Below are 18,725 nucleotides of genomic sequence, written 5' to 3'. Positions count from 1 at the left end.
TTCATCCATGTCCCTGCAAAGGGCATGAACTCATTATTTTTTATGGCTGCATAGTATTCCATGGTGTATATGTGCCTCATTTTCTTTATCCAGTCTATGATACCAACACCCTTTTCTCCTTTCTTTCATAGGTCTGAGTCTCCTTGAGGGGCAGTCTCGAGCCATCACTTGGGAACAGTTTCAGGTTGTCGACAATGACGACATTGGTGCTGTCCGGCTAGTCACCGTTGGTGGCCTGCAGCATGGATGGCTGACTTTAAGAGGTGAATGATCCAACTTGGTAACCTAGCAAAGAATCCAAAAGTATTTTCTTCAAAAGTAGATATATTTAACAGATATATGTAGCATCTCTTGGGCCCAATTTCTCAATGAAATTGTCAAATGCAGAAAATCTGGAGATCTTGAAATCATTGACTTTTGTGTTCAAATGCTCAGATCAATGTCTAACCATTTATGAATGGTACCTTGTACGTGGCTCATTGTTTAAACCTCAGTTTTGCTTTCTGGATGCCATGCATGGCTTCTTGTAAGTATACTCCTTAACTAGTTATTTTTTTCCCAGTTGGAGGACAGAATGTTTTTTATTTCTCTGCTTCAAAGAAGTATATTGAAAAATTAGGCCGAGCGCAGTGGCTCACGCCTGTAATCCCAACATTTTGGGAGGCCAAGGTGGGTGGATCACCTGAGGTCAGGAGTTCAAGACCAGCCTGACCAATATGGTAAAACTCCGTCTCTACTGAAAATACAAAAATTAGCCGGGCATGGTGGCGGGCGCCTGTAGTCCCAACTACTTGGGAGGCTGAGACAGGAGAATTGCTTGAACCTGGGCGGCAGAGGTTGCAGTGAGCCAAGATCACGCCACTGCACTCCAGCCTGGGTGACAAAGCAAGATTCCATCTCAAAAAAAAGAAAAAAGAAAAAGAAAAATTAATGCTTAATTAATACTTTAGTAATAATGATGTTATGTTATTAGTAGTAGTTGTCATGGTTTAAAAGAAATAAATTTATAATTCTATGGGATGATAGTTAACAAGGTAATAATCTAATAAAAGTAATATTTACACTTTATGATAAAATAAGTCATTCCTTATAATGAACTCAGAGGATTTAATTCAATTATCTTCTTAGTTTCCCTAACTGTAATGCAGAAAGATAACTCTCACCATCATTTGTGAGCAGGGAATTCTGGAATCAAAAACAAAATAATAAATGTATGATAAATCCTCCTGCTTAATCTCAGGACAGTGGGAGGCCAGTTTAAATCTGGGTATACCAGTCAGGTTGGGTGTTCGCTTGTATGTAAGAGAAATCCAAGTGTAGTGGCTTGAAAATTAGTTATTTTCTTCATGTATTTGAGGCTTGAAGACCCAGAAGGAACAATGAAAGAAGTCATGATCTAAGTTTGCTGTATCTAACAAGTTTTCCTAGGAGCACAATACAACAATTTCCACTTAGATTTCTTTATCAAACTATGTCACATACAACTCCTCAGTGCAAGCAAGTCGGGAAGCCTGAGTATTTTTAAATGACCATATTGCTATGCCAAATACAACTAGGATTCTGGTAGTGAGGAAGAAGCATAAAGTGGATCTTGGTCAAGACAGTGTTAAATCGTTTATTCCTCTAAGGTCTTTAACACAGCCACGTGGTGTGAAGAGAATAATGGGGTGCACCTGCCATTAAGAATTGTAAGTCTCTGGCCGGGCACAGTGGCTCACACCTGTAATCCCAGCACTTTGGGAGGCCGAGACCGGCAGATCACTTGAGGTCAGGAGTTCAAGACCAGCCTGGCCGACATGGTGAAACCCCATCTCTACTAAAAACATAAAAATAGCCCGGCATGGTGGTGCGTGCCTGTAGCCCCAGCTACTCAGGAGGCTGAGGCAAGAGAATCGTTTGAACCCGGGAGGTGGAGGTTGCAGTGAGCTGAGATCACGCCACTGCACTCCAGCCTGGGCGACAGAGGGAGACTCCGTCTAAAGAAAAAAAAAAAAAAAGGAAGAGTTGTAAGTATCTGAAGAAAACAAAGCAATGTTTATTAATACTACAGCAATGAAATGGAGAGTGGGAGACCATAATGCATTGATGGTCTGGGTTCAGAGGAGACACAAAATAGTGTGATCATTTATTAAGCTTTACTTTGTGACAGACACTGTAGAAAGCATTCTGTATACTTTAACTTGTTATCTCATATCAACTTTATGATATTAGATACTATTATTATTCCCATTTTACAAATGGGTAACCTGAGACTTAGAACAACTGATTTATCTAAGGTTGCACACCTAGAAAATGGCAGAACTGGGATTTGAACCCAGACTGTTAGATATTAGAGCTCTAGCTCTTGGTCTTTGAGCCAGTAATTTTCAAATAGGCTTGATAACACTGGTTGTTGCCTCCCTCCCACCCACCCCTGAATTTCTGATTCAGCAGGTCCAGGGTAAGGCTTGAGAATTTGCATTTCTAAAACTTTCCAGATGGTACTGAGGCTGCTGGTTTGAGACCACTCCTCTAAGAACTGCTGCCATGTAAGATGGTAGCAATTAGCTGAAGAATAACCAACATTTATTGTAGGCTTACTGTTGCTTAAGTTCTCTCATTCTTGCTGTGGATTATGAGGTAAGTATTTGTATTAGTAAGGGTTCCCTAGAGAAATGAAACCAACAGAATGTCTATCTATGTATGTATGTATCTATCTGCCTACCTACCTACCTACCTACCTACCTATCTATCTATGAGGTGATTTATTCTGGGAATTGGCTTATGTAATTGCGGAGGCTGAGAGGTTCCTTGTTAGGCTGTTGGAGAACCAGGAAAGCCCAGGAAGTCATGGGTATTAGTCTGAAGGCCCGAGAACCAGGGAAGCTGATGGTGTAACCCAGTCCAAAGCCAAAGGCTTGAGAAGATGGGCAAGGGGAGTGGAGAGGGGTGAGTGGGGTAGGGAAGGTGGAGGGTGGAGGCACAAATGAGGGTGTTAGAGGATGGCTGGTTTATGTTCCAGAGTTCAAAGGCCCAAGAGCCAGGAGCTCCAGTGTCAGAGGGAAGAAGATGGAAGGAAGTCTCAGCTCCAGAAGAGACAGAGCATTCCCCTTTCCTCTTCCTTTTTGTTCTATTCAGTCTATCAATGGATTGGATGATGCCTGCCCACAATGATGAATGTGATCTTTTCTCAGTCTGCTGATTCGAATGCTAATCACTTCAAGAAACACTGCTTCACAGAACCACCCAGCAATAATATTTTACCAGTTGTCTGGGCATTCCTTAGCCCAGTTAAGTTGATGGAAAAAGTTAAAACCATCACAGTAGTATTATCCATGTTTTATAGATGAGTTTCATAAATTAAATACCTTGCTCAAATCTGCACAACTGATAAATGTTGGAGCCAGTATTCAAAACTAGATATGTTCTCCCAGAACCCACTAACAATCTGTAGTTTTTCCAGGTGAGGGAAATACGGGCTGCACACTTTCCTTAGCAGCCTCTACTGTATTGATGCTTTCCCCACAGCTGCTGCTTCTGCACTCCCTTGCTCAATCTGCTCCATCTCTGCTCTCTCCCTCAGGGGGGAAAGGGTTTCTCTTCACCGTGGCTGACCTCCAGGCTGGAGTTGTTCGCTATCATCATGATGACAGCGACTCCACCAAAGACTTCGTGGTCTTCCGGATATTTGATGGCCATCACAGCATCCGTCACAAATTCCCCATCAACGTCTTGCCCAAAGATGATAGTCCCCCGTTCCTCATAACCAATGTTGTGATTGAACTGGAGGAGGGGCAGACCATCCTGATCCAGGGATCCATGCTGCGAGCTTCAGATGTGGACGCCAGTGATGACTACATCTTCTTCAATATCACAAAGCCTCCACAGGCTGGGGAGATCATGAAGAAGCCAGGGCCAGGACTGATAGGTAAGTTCTGGGCAGTTAAGATCATTTGAATGGAATTCACTCTTCCATAGAGAACCTTCTATGCATCCTTCTGGGTTTGCTGAAATTGTGTCCGAGTTTGTCCTAAGGTGAACATCAAGTTTCTGAAGTAAGATAGTATTTTTATTCCCATTTCATAATGAGGAAGCCTGAGATTTAGGAAAGTTAATTTGATCTGTCCAAGGTTGTGCATCTACAGATTTCCAGAGCTGAGCCTCAAAGTAACCATTACACTATGAAAAATTAAGTCAGCCGAGCAAGGTGATAGAACAAATTAGTCTAAAAGGAGATTTTTTGACTATTCTAGATTATTGATAATTTCATGAATAACATTTGTTTACATTTTGTTAGAATCATTTTGTAACTACTTCTTAAAGTAGGTAGATCCGGAGTTTGACAAAATAGGGATCAAGTAAGTAGTTAGTGTTACTTTGTATATTTGAAATAAGAGTAAGTTTCTTGAAAATATTTTTCTAATGCTAATTTTTCCATATATCAAGACAGATATAGTGACTTTAGTTTTCCTGCTTTATTATTTATTATTTTTCTGCTTTATTATTTATCTTTGATGAAAACATTTAATGCAGATTCCTTGGGTACATAGAATGTACTAGACAGATAAGACTTTTGAAGATAAGTCCAATATCATTGTCCCTCGATATTTGATAGGCTTGTACAAAAGTATGTGGTGTTTTATGGACCCAATAGGCTATCCTGTCCATGGCTTCCTTCAGAGGGATTTGTTTAATGGAATCATTTATTATCGTCATTTTGGTGGAGAAATCTTTGAAGATTCTTTTCAATTTGTCCTGTGGGACAGCCATGAACCTCCAAATCTTTCAGTGCCACAGGTAAGAGACTGTTTCTGAACACTTTCCCAAAGTCTTGTGCACAGGTGTCAATTCTAGGAGATGTGGTTAGAAACCACATGAAAATAGGTTTCAAGGTTTAAAATTTGAAAAACAATCGATTAAACAAAATTAAGCAGATTTCTTTGCAATAGGACTACTCAAATGTTTCCTTTTTGAAAGACTTTTATAGATATCTATGTATTCAGTGTTTCAAGGTCATTTAACTATGGGACCCTTTTATGTAGAGCAACTCACAAAATTTGCTTGTCTCCCGACACTCAAGAAAACATTTATTTTATATGTGGTGATTAAATTATAGGCTCTAGAGTTAGGTTGCATGAGTTTCCCTCTTGATCTTGACACTGACTGACTGGTCAACCCATGCTCCAGTTTCCTTGTCTGTAAAACAGATAATAATAGAACCTTCCTTTAGAGTTATTGTGAAGGTGAGATAATGCATATAAAGTACTGAGAACATTTTGGTTCATGGGAAACACTCAATAAATACATTAGCTATTATTTATTGTTGTCTTTAAAGATCTAAGAGTCTCTTCTACCACTAGAGGATATAATTTAAATGTGTAGAATGCAGAAAGAAGTTTAAGCAAACATTGCCATATAGAAATTACAGAAAGTGGAGTCAGGGTAGTGTCTGGACAACTATAATAGAGTAGACTCCTTGAAAGGAGAGGCTGGTTGATAATAGAGATTTTAAAAAAGGACAGCTGAAATTAAGTAATCACCTACTGATATGGTTTGGCTGTGTCCCCACCCAAATCTCATCTTGAATTGTAACTCCCACAATTCCCACGTGTCATGGGAGGAACCTGGTGGGAGGTAATTGAATCATGGGGGTGGGTTTTTCCTGTGCTGTTCTCATGATAGTGAATAAGTCTCACGGGATCTGATGGTTTTAAAAACGGGTGGTCCCCTGTACAAGCTTGCGCGCTCTCTCTCTGCCTGCTGCCATCCATGTAAGACGAGACTTGATCCTTTTTGCCTTCTGCCATGATTGTGAGACCTCCCCAGCCATGTGGAACTGTACATCCATTAAATCTCTTTCTTTTGTAAATTGCCTAGTCTCAGGTATGTCTTTATCAGCAGTGTGAGAACAGGCTAATAAACCTACTATGTACGTACATTTTGCTAGGCATTTTGTACCTATTATCTTGGAAGATAGCCTGTATATGGATCCAAGCAAATTTCCAACCTGTTCTAGAATGACTGCTTAAAGCAAGGGTCCTATTTGTCACATAATGCCTTCCCATAATGTCATAGACACTGACATTAGCTAATGCATAGATGATTGAGCTATTCATCTGTGTGCTAAGAAGAGTATAACAGAAGGAGATGATCAGGAAGAATGATTCCAGAGAGCTCAGAAATGGAAGGCAATAGGTAATCCCTATTAAGAAGGAATAGAGAATGAATGAGAAAACTCAGTTCATCTGCTCTTTGACTAACAGGTCAATTCCTTTTCAAATAACACCTCCCTCTTTTTATCAATGTATTATATGTCATTTCTAGATTAAGTTTTTGCTTGAAACCTTAGTTTATTTGATAGTTCAAAAAGGTAACAGTTAATAGGATTTACTTCTAAGTCTTCTGTGTATCTATCCAATCTGAGTTATGTTTCTGACTAGGATACCGTATCACTTTTAGTGGCCTATGGGCCTTTTTAAAAATGAAAAATTCAGGACTTCTTTTTTCTTCTTTCGTTGTTATATATTTTATAAATCATGCTCTTCATATACACAAGTATAGATGTCAGATTTCTCTGTAATGAAAACTTTAGTGCAGCATAATTATTTCTGAATCTGGGCAAATTGGTCAAACTAAACTCTGTAGATCTAGTTATAAGTTTATTCCCTGTGATGGATAGGTTTCTAAAGATGCTTATCATGTTTTTCTCTGCTTTCATCTTCTTAATTTATGTTAGAAAGAGAAAGAGAAGGGGACAGAGGGAGATCTACAAATTTGCTCTCTTCATTACCATATATCTTTGGCCCCTAAATGTTTATCCAGCTCAGATGTGTGTCCTACCTCTCTATCTGACATCTTTACATGTATGTATCATCAGCGTTTTAAACTTATGACCAAAATACATCTAGCATGTGTCCCTAAAAACTTGCACAAAATAACTAGCTGGAATCTCTGAAGTCATCCCTGACTCCTTTCTCTAATGTCAGCACAACCAATCAGTCAGCAGGTTTACTAAATCTGCTTGACGAGTTTTTCTGATCTATCTCTACCTCCCCACCTCACTGCCATTGCTTCAGCTCCAACCTTCATCTTTTCTGGGCTAGATTATCCTCAACCCCTCCCATGGCCTTTTACAAATAGAGGTGATTAACCAAATCCTTATAGTTGCGATAAATTAAAACTCATTAATATAGTAGCAGTATTCTTAGTGAAATTAATCTAGCATCTGTTTTTCCCATTCTCCCTCTTCTGGTTGGTGGTAACTTTGTCTTAGTCCCTCTCCAGACTATGGACTTGCTGTCAGCTCTAACATCAGCTGTTCCAAGAATCCTCTGACGACCCCATTCCACAAACCCTCAGGCAGGATCAGCTTGTCCTTTTACATGCTCTGGCATCTGTTTACACATATCTTTGTTGTTGAACTTTCTGTAAAGTAAGACCACTATTTCTTTTATTGGATCAGCTCTGATCTCCTTGACAGTAGGGACCCGGAATTATTCATTTCAATGTTTCTAGACCTAGGTATCTGACTCATTGTAGACCCTTACAAACTGCTTATTGATCACCAAATGAATTCTGGTTCTTTCAACATTTACTGAAACTAGGAGGAAATAAGACCCAAACATTTGGTAGGGACTAGGGAGGGAGTGAGATGGGGCGGTAATAAGTGTAAAGCTTTATTCAGAGTTTCTAGAAATAAGTGTGTGCATGCCAATGAAACAAGTATTGTGTGTATGTGTGTGTGTGTGTGTGTGCTGGCAAGCATTTTTATATTTAAAACTCCGATATCAGTGAAACTTCAATATTTGAGGAACTCAAATGATTACCTGGTCTGTTTGATGTTTACATTCTCAATTTGGACAAGTATCTAGTCATGTCCTACAGATAAAAATAGATTTAAAATATTCAACAAAATTCATAACTTTCAGCTGCTCAACTAGAAGTCCAGATAAAATGATTACTTGATGGTAGCTTTCGTGATCAGAATATTCCATGGTTTTGTTTTATTTTGACGTTGTAATGGAAGTACAGATGAGCAATGCCAATTTTGTCTACAACAATGGCATTCAGAATACTCAATTTGAAAATGATGAGAATTCCTTTTGAAATTGACACACACAGCAAAACTAAATTATGATTAAGCTTTTTCTATGACATAAAAAAGGCTAGAACTTCAGCTCAGCCACCTACAAGCTGTGCTCCCTGGGGCAAATCATTTAACCCCTTTGGGGCTCAGGTTTTTTTCTCTGAACATTGGGAATAATAACCATGGCTATTATTAGTGAAGTGCTATCTGGATCACTCAAGATAGCTAGTAGCACAGTGAGTACTCAGTACTTAGTAGGTGCTCAATAAATTAATTCCCTGTCTCTATCCTTTCATGACTGTTGCCAAAGTTTACAGCATGTTTATCCATTATGAAGCATTTCAATAATTAAAAATTAAATCCGGTTATCAAAATAAACACAATGGCAGTCATTTTTCTATTCTCCTGCAGTCTGTGTCATGATTTTTTCCCCCCAATTACAGTGTTTCGCTAATCTACAAAGTTCAGAAATTCTCTGTGGGACTTCCCAGCCATAGTGTGGATCAGTGAGGCTCCACTTAATTGGAAAACTGGATTTAATAAGGAAACAATAGTTATTGTGCCTTCAAAGAGACCATTTTCCATGCTAATTTATTCTCCAATGTGTTCTTTGTGTAAGAAGAATGTACAGCATGCTTTTTTATACCCCTGTAATAATTCTTAGTGGGCACATTTGTGTGTGTGTGTGTGTATGTGTATGTGTGTGTGTGTGTGGTTTTAAGGAGTGGAGAGAGTTTAATATACAAGACGGGGCAAGAAGGAAGGGAGAAGACAGAAGGAAGAGGCTCCCCTGTACAGAGACAGAGGTGGGAATGGGGCTCTAAAGCTGAAAGAGGAGGTCCCCAAGTATGGTGGACACCAGCCAGGTATATATGCAGAGGCTGGAGGAGGTGGTGTCTGATTTGCATAGGGCTCAGGAAATAGGTTTGACCAGGCATGTCATTCATGTAGCCCGCGAAAAAGCTGGTCCTCCCACCCTAGCCTTTTAATATGCAAATGTGGGCACCCTGATTTCTACACATGTGGGGATATGTGGGGGCGGCCATGTTGCCAGGAGCATATGGGCCAAGGGCAAGAAGGCCAAGGGAATCGCCATGTTGGGTGGACCCAGTTTCTAATGGCCGGCATTTGCATATCAAAGGTTGCCCACCTGACTAAGAGCTGGGGCTTTACAAGAAACTTTTCCGGATATGCTTTAAAAGACGAAAACTACCCAAGGACCCCTTTTCCTCTCTATCTGCATAAAATAATTTCTTTTTCTTAATAACTCCTACCACATTCCTCCCTGCGGCAATATCACACTAACTGCAGTTAGGGGGTTTTGGGCGAAGACTCTTTCTGGCTACTTCCTACTTAAAAGGGGCGTTGAATGGGGAACAGCAGTTAGGGCTCCTCCTGGGATTGATTTAAGGGTCCTCGGAAGAATGGCATGTCCACATGCGGTTCAGTTTGCAGCACCATTTGGAGTTTGATTGCTTTTAGGCGAGAAGAAACAATTTGAGTCATAGTACTGAATATACAACGTCCAAATATCAATTCAAGACATATAAGCAAGAGAGGGCTTAATAAAGGGGTTAACCAATTCCAGAAAGAAGACTGGAATTTATTAAAGAGGGATTGTAGCCGCCCAGGGCTGAAGCCGGCATTTTCCCTGAGCCTGTTAATAATTTTGATTTGATTTTTAAGTACCTGTAGATTTTCCTTTCCTTTACTAGGTGTTAATCCAAAAGCAGCATGTTTCATTTAAAAGTGCATCACTAAATCCAATAAAAAATCCTAGCAGACTTAGTGATAGTAAAACTTTTACGCTTTCTTTTTGTCAGTAACTATTATCCCAGTTATAAGGATAATAATTAAGCAAAATACTACAGCAATGAAAACTCTCTGTCCAATATTTTAGTTTGAAGGTGCTACCGTGTATAACCCTATTGCAAATAGTAGAGTGAGGACAGCAATTCCCACAAGTGTGGTGTGGTAGATAATTTCCATCTAAAATTTTACTTGCCAAGATAGAGAACTCCCCTTTGGGGGTCTATGAAGTTCCTTGGTTTTATTTTCCCAAACAAAGAAAGCTCAGAGTTATGGGCACCTTACTCACTTTTCATTACCCGGCAGAAGTTGCAAGATAATTGCCCAGAACTAGCATATTGATTCACATTTTGACGTTACCCGTCCCTTTTTTCTTTTTTCCAAGCTGCAGATCACCAGTTGATTCACAGGAATAAGCAGGGTTCGTCTAAAACGTAGGCAAAAAGCTGAAAAACAAGAGACTAGGATTTAATGACAAATGTATGATAAGTTTTGGAGCAAAATTTTTCTCTTCAGTCTTCACTTTTGGTAAAAAGTAATTATCAGTAAACTTTAGTCTTATAGTTGGCCTGATTATTTGCATAAAGTGCAGCAAGAATGGTTATTTTTACATAGGCCTTTTGGATTGGCTTTGATGAAACGCTGTTTCACAAGGAATTTCAGGTAAGACTTTTAAAGCCGAGCCCAGCCATGGGTTTGTATCCTCTAATACCTGTGAGTTGGGTGATCCTTTCCTCTTGAGGTCCCAAGATAAACTCATAGCTTCCAGACCTATTAGAAAGTGACATTCTTCACTGACCACAGGTTAGGAACTGTATAGACAAGGTGGTAGGCCAGTTCTCCCTAAGGGGCTTTAATTGGCTGTACATGTCGAGCTTGATTCCTTAAAGGGAGACACACCCCTTCAGTCAAAGCCTTGATAAAATAACCAGTTTTCCAACTGTGTCCTGTTGACAAAGAAAAATTGATTCTTATTGCACTGATGCAAACAACTGTATTGCCATAAGAGTACTTACAGATAGTCTCCAAATTCTAGAGGAATCAGGCGGAGAAAAATGAACATGCTCCAAATTTTGTTTACAGGAGTATACCTTACTCAATTATTAAAGGCTGTAAATAGTTTAAAATAAGTTTCCTTGACTCTGAAAAACTAAACAAGGATCAGCAATATTCCAAGCGAAAGTTAAAAAGTTTGCTTTAACTTTGTGAGTGCAGTCCACTTAGTTAAATTTTGTTTTGCTTGATATTTGTGAACATGTCAGTTTTTTAGGAGTCCTGTAGATTCTCCCTCCATTTCAGTGTTACAATCTTCAAAGCTATTACAAACCTGCATTTGAGAACACCTGTTAAAGTCCTTAATATAGCTTGATTATAAACCATCTTTTGAGAAGGAACAAAGCAAGACAACAATTGTCTGTGAATGGCAACATTCCCAGGATAGTTACAGTTAAAAACATGACTGGCAAAGAACTTTATTTATCTTCGTGGTTTACAATAACTTTACCCTTAATTATGATTGATAGCACATACTTAGGCATTAGAATTTTAGAAAACCCATACAATTTTTGAACATATATTAGTGTTCACCAAAATATAACTTAAAAAAGATTGGACATCATTTTGGCAATCTCATGTGACTAAATATGTCAGATAATCCTGTTTACCTCTTTTCTGAATGTTTCAGGGGCCCTCTGAACCATTCAAAAAGCCAGGCATCAGGAAGGATAATTTCCAGATTGCCATAAATTATTTTGCCAAAATGATGACTCAAAAGGCAAAAACATTTTATTAGTCTTTACTATGATATGAAAATTCGGTTTAAAGCTAAATTTTACCCTTGCATTAGTTTATTTGTTCAAGTGAAACCTTATAGATTATTCCATTTTATCTTTATCAATTTGACCATGAGGTGAAATTTTTACAAACCTTTTGTAACCCTTTTACTAAAGGACAGAGTAGTGTCTTAAGACCTTCTTGCTATGCTTTTATTTCAATGCTTAATTTAAGAAAAGACCATATAGATACCATGGGAGAAGAAGGTGTAGTGCTTCTACCATGCACTTCATTTCAAGGCAACCCAAAGCCAATTGGCTTATTTTGTAATCAGCCCATCCCTGATGGGAGTCTCATCCCTCAGTGTGGGGTGGAGATGTTGCCTTATTTTCCAGGTGGCTAAGAGCGTGCTTCTCTGATTTATAACTACTATTAGCCATCTCTTACAGTGTATTTTCTACCTAGTTATTACTCACCAAAGCTCTCTCATAATGCGAAGTAATTTCTGATACTCCCAAAACTCAAAACCATCAGATAACACAATGCAAAACAGAACAGAGCCTTTGATTTTGAGAGGGATAATTTCCTTTTAATTCCTGGGGTTTTATGAGGAAAACAGAGGATCCCCCCCAACTGCCCCACAAAACGGGGTCTGTGGCACCTCCTCTGTTTTTCCCAAGGAGTCCCATGCTACCAGAAGTTATCTTAGAGCCTTTCAGGCATGCATTAAGAGTGGTAAGACAAAAAATGGAGAAAAATAACTCAGTTGACTGAGAAGAAAAGAGCCTTTTTCCAGAAAAACAACATCCAAAAAAAGAAAAACATAAAGGCCTTTTAAATATACCTCTAACTTGAATATCCACTCTTAATTAAGCTGAGCACTCTTTAAGAAAATCCTTTTAAATCCCTTGTTACTTGACTTTAGCTACACCAAGCAGTAAAGATTTTCAGCTTTTGAATGTTACAAAAAAGTAACCTCACAGATGAAATCAATGAGCCTTAATTAGGTTATGACTTAACCATGAGTGTGCAAGGTATTTTCAAAGGAGTGATAGGCAGCTTTTGAAACTACCATTACAAAATTGTGACTGAGACAGTGAAAGAGATCCGACCCAAACAACTCCATTTTATTTTTAGCCCCTAAGCTCTCCTCGACCATCCCTGGGTGTAGGCTGAACCGACTTTGGAAGGAGCCTGGTTTATAGGCTGTAGTCTAAAACAAAGATGATAACAGCCGCTTCCCAAGATATACTTCCCTCTTGCCTGGGGAAGACCAAGAAACTAGCCACAAGATTAGAAACCATGGCCCAGGAGCCATGCAGCTGGAGGCTACAAGATTTTGACCCTCCCTAAACCACTCTTAAGATCAGTGCTTAAGATATTTTATAAACCCTGCCCTTGATGGATCGGCTGGCACCACCCAGAGTGACAAACTGGCTTATTTGATTTTGTGGCCCTTACCCAGGCACTGACTTAGCACAAGAAGACAGCCACCACGGTAAAATGGCAGAGACTAAAACAAAGTATTGCCACATGGTTACCGATTATGTTCCTAAGGACATGAAACAAGTTGGAGGCCCATAGCCAAGTTTGTTACTGACCGTTCTGCTGGGCTGGCTGGAACAGCAGGCCTATGGGGTCCTGGGCCTGCATCCTAACCTAAGATACCTTTTCTTCGGTAGATCCATACAGAAAGACACGCAAAGCATACAAGATTGTTTACAGCTTAAGACCAACCTTACAAATCCTTTTTTTATTAATTATACATTTACTGAGAACATAAGCAGTGATCCTTATTACCCCTTTTTCAGGTTTGCACAGGGAGAGAAGCCAAAAGCCCAACTGGTGAGAAATTTTTACCCTTTTGCCAGCATATCAGGCATCAGGCTTCTGGGTTCCCTCCCCGCTAGCTCAACTCTACATCAAGCATTTTAAGGTTTGGAAAATTAGTTTTTCCCAGGTTGGAAGAACATTATAAAAGAGATAGAAGCCATTTTAAACTGCAAAAGAAGGAAAAGCATTGTAGAAAGGAATTCAATTAGGGTTGTTAAGAGGTATTGCCTCTCTTCCTATTGGGAATTGTGTTTCCCCTGTTTCTTTGCCTTCCCTATTTTTTCTCTTCCCTTTTGGCCTACTATAGGAGACATATTGCTTATCTCCAAAATTCTCTTCTGCGTGCAGAGCTGCCTGTTTTAGCTGCAGTGAGGGTTTGCCAACTCTGTGTACGGTCAAATACCTAAGTTACATTTTGGAAAGCTTCTATATACCTATTAGGGTAGTTAGAAAATCGGCCTAAGTCTGCCTTTACTTGCCTAAGGTCCTGCAATGAGAAGGGAACTTGAAGGGGCCCCAAATAAGGGGGACCCTCAGATGACTTCCCTGAAAGTTACCTTTTTAATTTTGGGAAACTGTTTTCCCTGGGCCTGCCCAATATGGCTGCAAAAGAAAATAAACCACTTTTTCTTCAAAGTTTCAAGGTCGAAGGAGTCCCAGTGCTTCAAAATATGTTCCAGGGGAGTGCATGTTGAAGACAATCTGTTACCCATCTAGAAAGAGAAGTGAGAATAAAAGCGTCGTTTTCGTCTCCTTCCTTTCGGTATGTGATCCAGGATGGAGATGAAAACAGTAGAGGGCGTCCCCCCAGCTATTCTCTGTCCGTCGCTCTTGGATTCCCGGCACCCGCTTAAATGTGCCGCACATGACTTGCAGGCGTGACCCTCCGAGCCATGGCGCCAGAGGAACTGAGTTTTGGGCCTTAGTCACTCTGTCCCCAAGCAATCAGTTCTCTGCCTTTTATTTCCCTTTGACCTCCTAGACTTGCGTGGCCTGTGTGCCTTCCAAAAAATAGATTCCAAGAAAAATCATGTAATTGGGCAAGGCCCCTTTAAGGGAGGGAGCAAGCTAGATTGAACTCTGTATCCTGCTATTATAGCCCAGGCTAAAGCATTTACCCATAGAAAAATGGTTCTGGTTAACTTCCAGAATTAAAATACCCTTCCTAATTAAGTACTGTCTTAATAGGAGACAAAATAGGTGCCTTAAAGGAATGTAGGAACCAAATGGCCATTTTCCTGCCAGTGGGACAATATCGAGATTAAAATTTGGCTGCAGAAGACGTTTTACTCTTAATTGTTAAAAGCAGAAACTTTCCATTCACAGAAGAGGCCTAGAGCCTGATTTCTACCAGGTGGCTTAGAAATACCATGTGCTCGCCAGAGAAGTGGTATCAAGTAACCTCGCTGTAACTTTGTTCCTAGACTGTAAAAATCTTTGCACATTTCATGCAGAGAAAGAGTAAGAGGCTGCGGACAGAAAGGGAAGAAGAGTTTTGCAACAGGATAGTTGAGGTTCTCTGCCAACACCCAGAATGGGCTGTTGGAGGCTGTGTCCGGTCCAGAGGCCTTTGAATCACACCTGGCCAGAAATTCTCAGTTGCCTCAGAACTTTTCCCAGCCTCACGTGATGGCAAGGTCACCAGTGAAAAGAAGCTACTTCAAGCATGACCAACATTCCCAATACCTGTGGGTAATGGGGGGTTCTCCAAGTTCTCCCCAGCAAGCCTTATATCCGTGACTTGAGTACGGTAGCCAACAATAAGCGTATATACTAGGTTGATGGATGCCTGTTGAGTTATTTGATTTATTTTAATATAGAGGCGAAGAGTGCCTCAGAATGACAGAACAGATTTTAAGCTTGCTCCCACAGTCGCCACTCTGATGAAGGAAGGCTGTACCTCAGATTCCTGTACCTCAATGCACCAAAGTGATATGGCTTCGATGAGTGAAGGAACACCAAGGGTCTTGGCCCTCATGCCGGTTTAGATAAAACGACACGGACACACGTGGAGTGGTTTTAAGGAGTGGAGCATTTAATAGGCAAGAAGGAAGGGAGAAGACAGAAGGAAGAAGCTCCCCCATACAGAAACAGAGCGGGGGGAGCTCCAAAGCCGAAAGAGGAGGAGGTCTTCCGGTGGGCACATTTTTTTAACATGCTTTATGATGGCCTAAGTTGATATGTCTTTACATATTTATGCATGTTCAAACAATTATTATTCTGTGGGTGAGAAAAGTCCCATTTTAACAAACTCCATTGAGAAATAAAGTGTTCTCAATGTACTGAAATCTGATTGTAACAAAAGCATTATTAAACACCCAATCCCAGGCAAACAGTAGAAAACTAGTGCTCAAATCAATTGCTGGGCTCTTGCTTGCTGCCTTCCCCCGTGTCCCTCCAGCCTGCTTATGGCTACAGACTTATAAGGAATCAGAATATGAAGTGATAAATCAGTACACAAAATGACAAAACCTGGCCTTGGTCTTCATATTCAGGCTCACAATATAATACTCCACCAGCTGGTATCTGACTTTCTTGTGGGAATGGGTTCTTAATCCTTTCTCTGCCCTGATTCTTTGATTTCTGCTAGCTCTTTCTTTTGCATCTTCCCTTGAAACTATCCAGTGCTATTTCTCACCCCCAGGAACTACTTACACTGTTAGTTTTGCCCACCCACTTTCTTCTCTGACTTGTGGTAAATATGCACCCCCCAGGTACCTGTTCTCTCCTCTGGGCATGTTTCATTTCTCCCTTCCACTTCACCCATGTGCTTTTGTGTCACCTTCTTCCATTCTTTCCTCGTTTTCTGGTCCTCTCTCTGCATCTCTCATCTATCCTTATTTTTATTCTCCCTTTTTCTTCTAATATTACTCTCTCCTGGATTAAGATCTCTTAAGGCTTAAGGTCTATAAAGCTGTCTACCAAGTAGAATAGAGTTGGAAATGTTTTTCAAAAGCAAGTTGAGTGAGTGAAGCTGTCTTAGTCCATTTTGTACTGCTACAACAGAGTACTACAGACTGGGTAATTTATAAACAATAGAAATTTATTTGGCTCATGGTTCTGGAGGCTGGGAAGTCCAAGATCAATGAACTACATCTTGTGAGGGCCTTCTTATGACATCATAATACAGAGGAAAACATCATGTGGATGAGAAGAGAGCAAGAGCTTGAACTTGCAGCCTCAAGCCCTTTTATAATGATCATTAACCCATTCATGAGGGTGGAGCCCTCATGACCTAAACACCATTGGGCCCCTCCTCTAAACACTGTTGCATTGGTGATGAAGTTTCCAACATATGCTTGTTGGAAGACACATTCAGTTCATATCAGAGACTTTATTTGATGACAGTCATGGCAACCAAGATAGAAAAAGTTCATGGAGCAGGCTGTGGAAAAGACCCATGATGCCAGGCAAAGCACCATTTTCAGACAGTAATTAATAGCTTTTCCACAACCAATGATGGATTATTATAAAAGAAATGTTATAATAAAAGCTGTTTGGCAAGTCCTCCTTACCCTCTAGCATGATACCAACCTGTAAGTGTAGTTTTAAGACTTAAAATCTCAAACAGGACATGACTTACTCAGTTTGCAAACATTAATAAAGTGCCTCCTACCTACAAAAAAAATTGTGCTAGATGTTGTGGAGATACAGAGACGAATGTAGTATTTATTGGGCACCTACTATGTGCCAGACATTTTACCTACATAGTAATATTTGATCCTTATAACAGCTCTGTGAGGTTGTATTATGCTTAACTTACTAATAAGAAAATTGACACTAAAAGGTTAAGTAACTTGTTTAAGGTTAAATAGCTGCTAGTAAGTGGTATACTCAGGACTATAACTGTACCGTCAAATTCCATGTGGTTTACACCATATTGTAATGCTGGCCTCATGGAACTTTCAGTCTGGGAGAGAGACTCATTTGTAAACTAACAATACAAAACATTAGAATAAGTATGCTAGTTGAGGGATGTCTAAGTTTGTTTAATCTGCTATAACGGGATAAATGACTAATTTAGAAATAATAGAAATTTATTTCCATAAATAAATTTATACATAAATAAGCCATAACATTCTACCCCGGCACCTCCCCCGCCCCGCCACAATTTATGTTCTTCTCCCATACAAAATATACTAATTCCATCTCAACAGCCCCCAAAGTCTTAACTCATTTCAGCATCAATGCAAAAAAATAAAGTCTAACATCTCATTTAGTACATATTTATGTACTAAATCAGGTATGGGTGAGACTTTAGGTACAGTTCATCCTGAAACAAATTTCCCCTCGAGCTGTGAGCACAATAAAATCAAACAAGTTATATGCTTCTAAAATACAATGGTGGGACAGGTATAGGATAGACATTCCTCTTCCAAGAGGGAGAAATAGGAAAGAAGAAAGGATCCAAAACTCAACAGGGCAAACAATATTAAGTCTTGAGGCTTGTGAATAATCTTCTTTGACTCTGTGTCCTGCCTTCTGGACATGCTGAGGCTAGGATTGGGCCCCCAAGGCCCCAGGCAATTCCACCTTTATGGCTTTTCTGGGTACAGCCCAGGCAACAGCTGTCAGAGGTTGGCGTCAGGTGCCTGAGGCTTTCCTGGATGGCGTTGCACATTGGTGGTCTCTGGGGTGGCCCTGACCCCATGGCTCTGCTGGGCATTGCCCTAGTGGGTACTGTCTGCAGCAGCCCTGCACCTGAGGCAACTCTCTGCCTGAGTCCCGAGGCTTTCTGAGGCATCTCTTGAAATCTAAGTGGAGGCAGCTGTGTTTTCACAGCTCTTGCACTCTGCACACAAGCAGAGTTGGTATTTGTGCCAAGGCCTACTTCTTGTGTTCTCCAGAGTGGTGGCTCAAGTGGTTCCTGGGCCTGCTTGAGCCACAGCTGGGATGGCCAAGGATTGCATCAGAATGCAGGGAGCAGAGACTTGAGGCAGTGCTGGGCAGAGACCCCACAGGTCCCTCCCTTGAAACCATTCTGTCCTCAAGGCCCTGGCATTCTGAACCTGTGATGGGAATGGTGGCCTGATGTCTAAAATACCTTCAGGGTCATTTTTCCATTGTCTTGATAAATAGCAGCTGGTTTCTTTCTATTCATACTAATCTCTCTATCATATAGGCACTTGGTCACACCTTTTGTGGCCTCTCCTAAAGATGCTTTTTTATTCTTTATATGGTCAGGCTGAGAATTTTTCAAATCTTTAAGTTCTGCTTCCCCTTTGACAAAAAATTCTGGCTTTAG

At 40.3% G+C, this 18,725-nt stretch overlaps 1 protein-coding gene across 31 annotated transcripts in view; it reads left to right on the top strand.

The window, feature by feature from the left end:
* FREM1 (FRAS1 related extracellular matrix 1) overlaps positions 1–18,725 on the top strand; it is a 173,844-nt gene that overhangs the window by 64,773 nt on the left and 90,346 nt on the right. For all 31 annotated transcript variants that reach the window (NR_163238.2, NR_163239.2, NM_144966.7 and 28 more), the window contains 3 exons: positions 132–263; positions 3,563–3,907; positions 4,634–4,776. Coding sequence is in view for 29 of the 31 variants with exons in the window: in NM_144966.7 (NP_659403.4) it covers positions 132–263; positions 3,563–3,907; positions 4,634–4,776 (620 nt within the window). In the remaining 2 variants the exon portion in view is untranslated. The remainder of the gene's footprint in view (positions 1–131; positions 264–3,562; positions 3,908–4,633; positions 4,777–18,725) is intronic.

This window comes from Homo sapiens, chromosome 9 (assembly GCF_000001405.40).
Source record: "Homo sapiens chromosome 9, GRCh38.p14 Primary Assembly".
Lineage (NCBI taxonomy): Eukaryota > Metazoa > Chordata > Mammalia > Primates > Hominidae > Homo > Homo sapiens.
The sequence above is the reverse complement of the archived record's forward strand: the minus strand, read 5'-3'. Positions and strand labels throughout refer to the sequence as shown.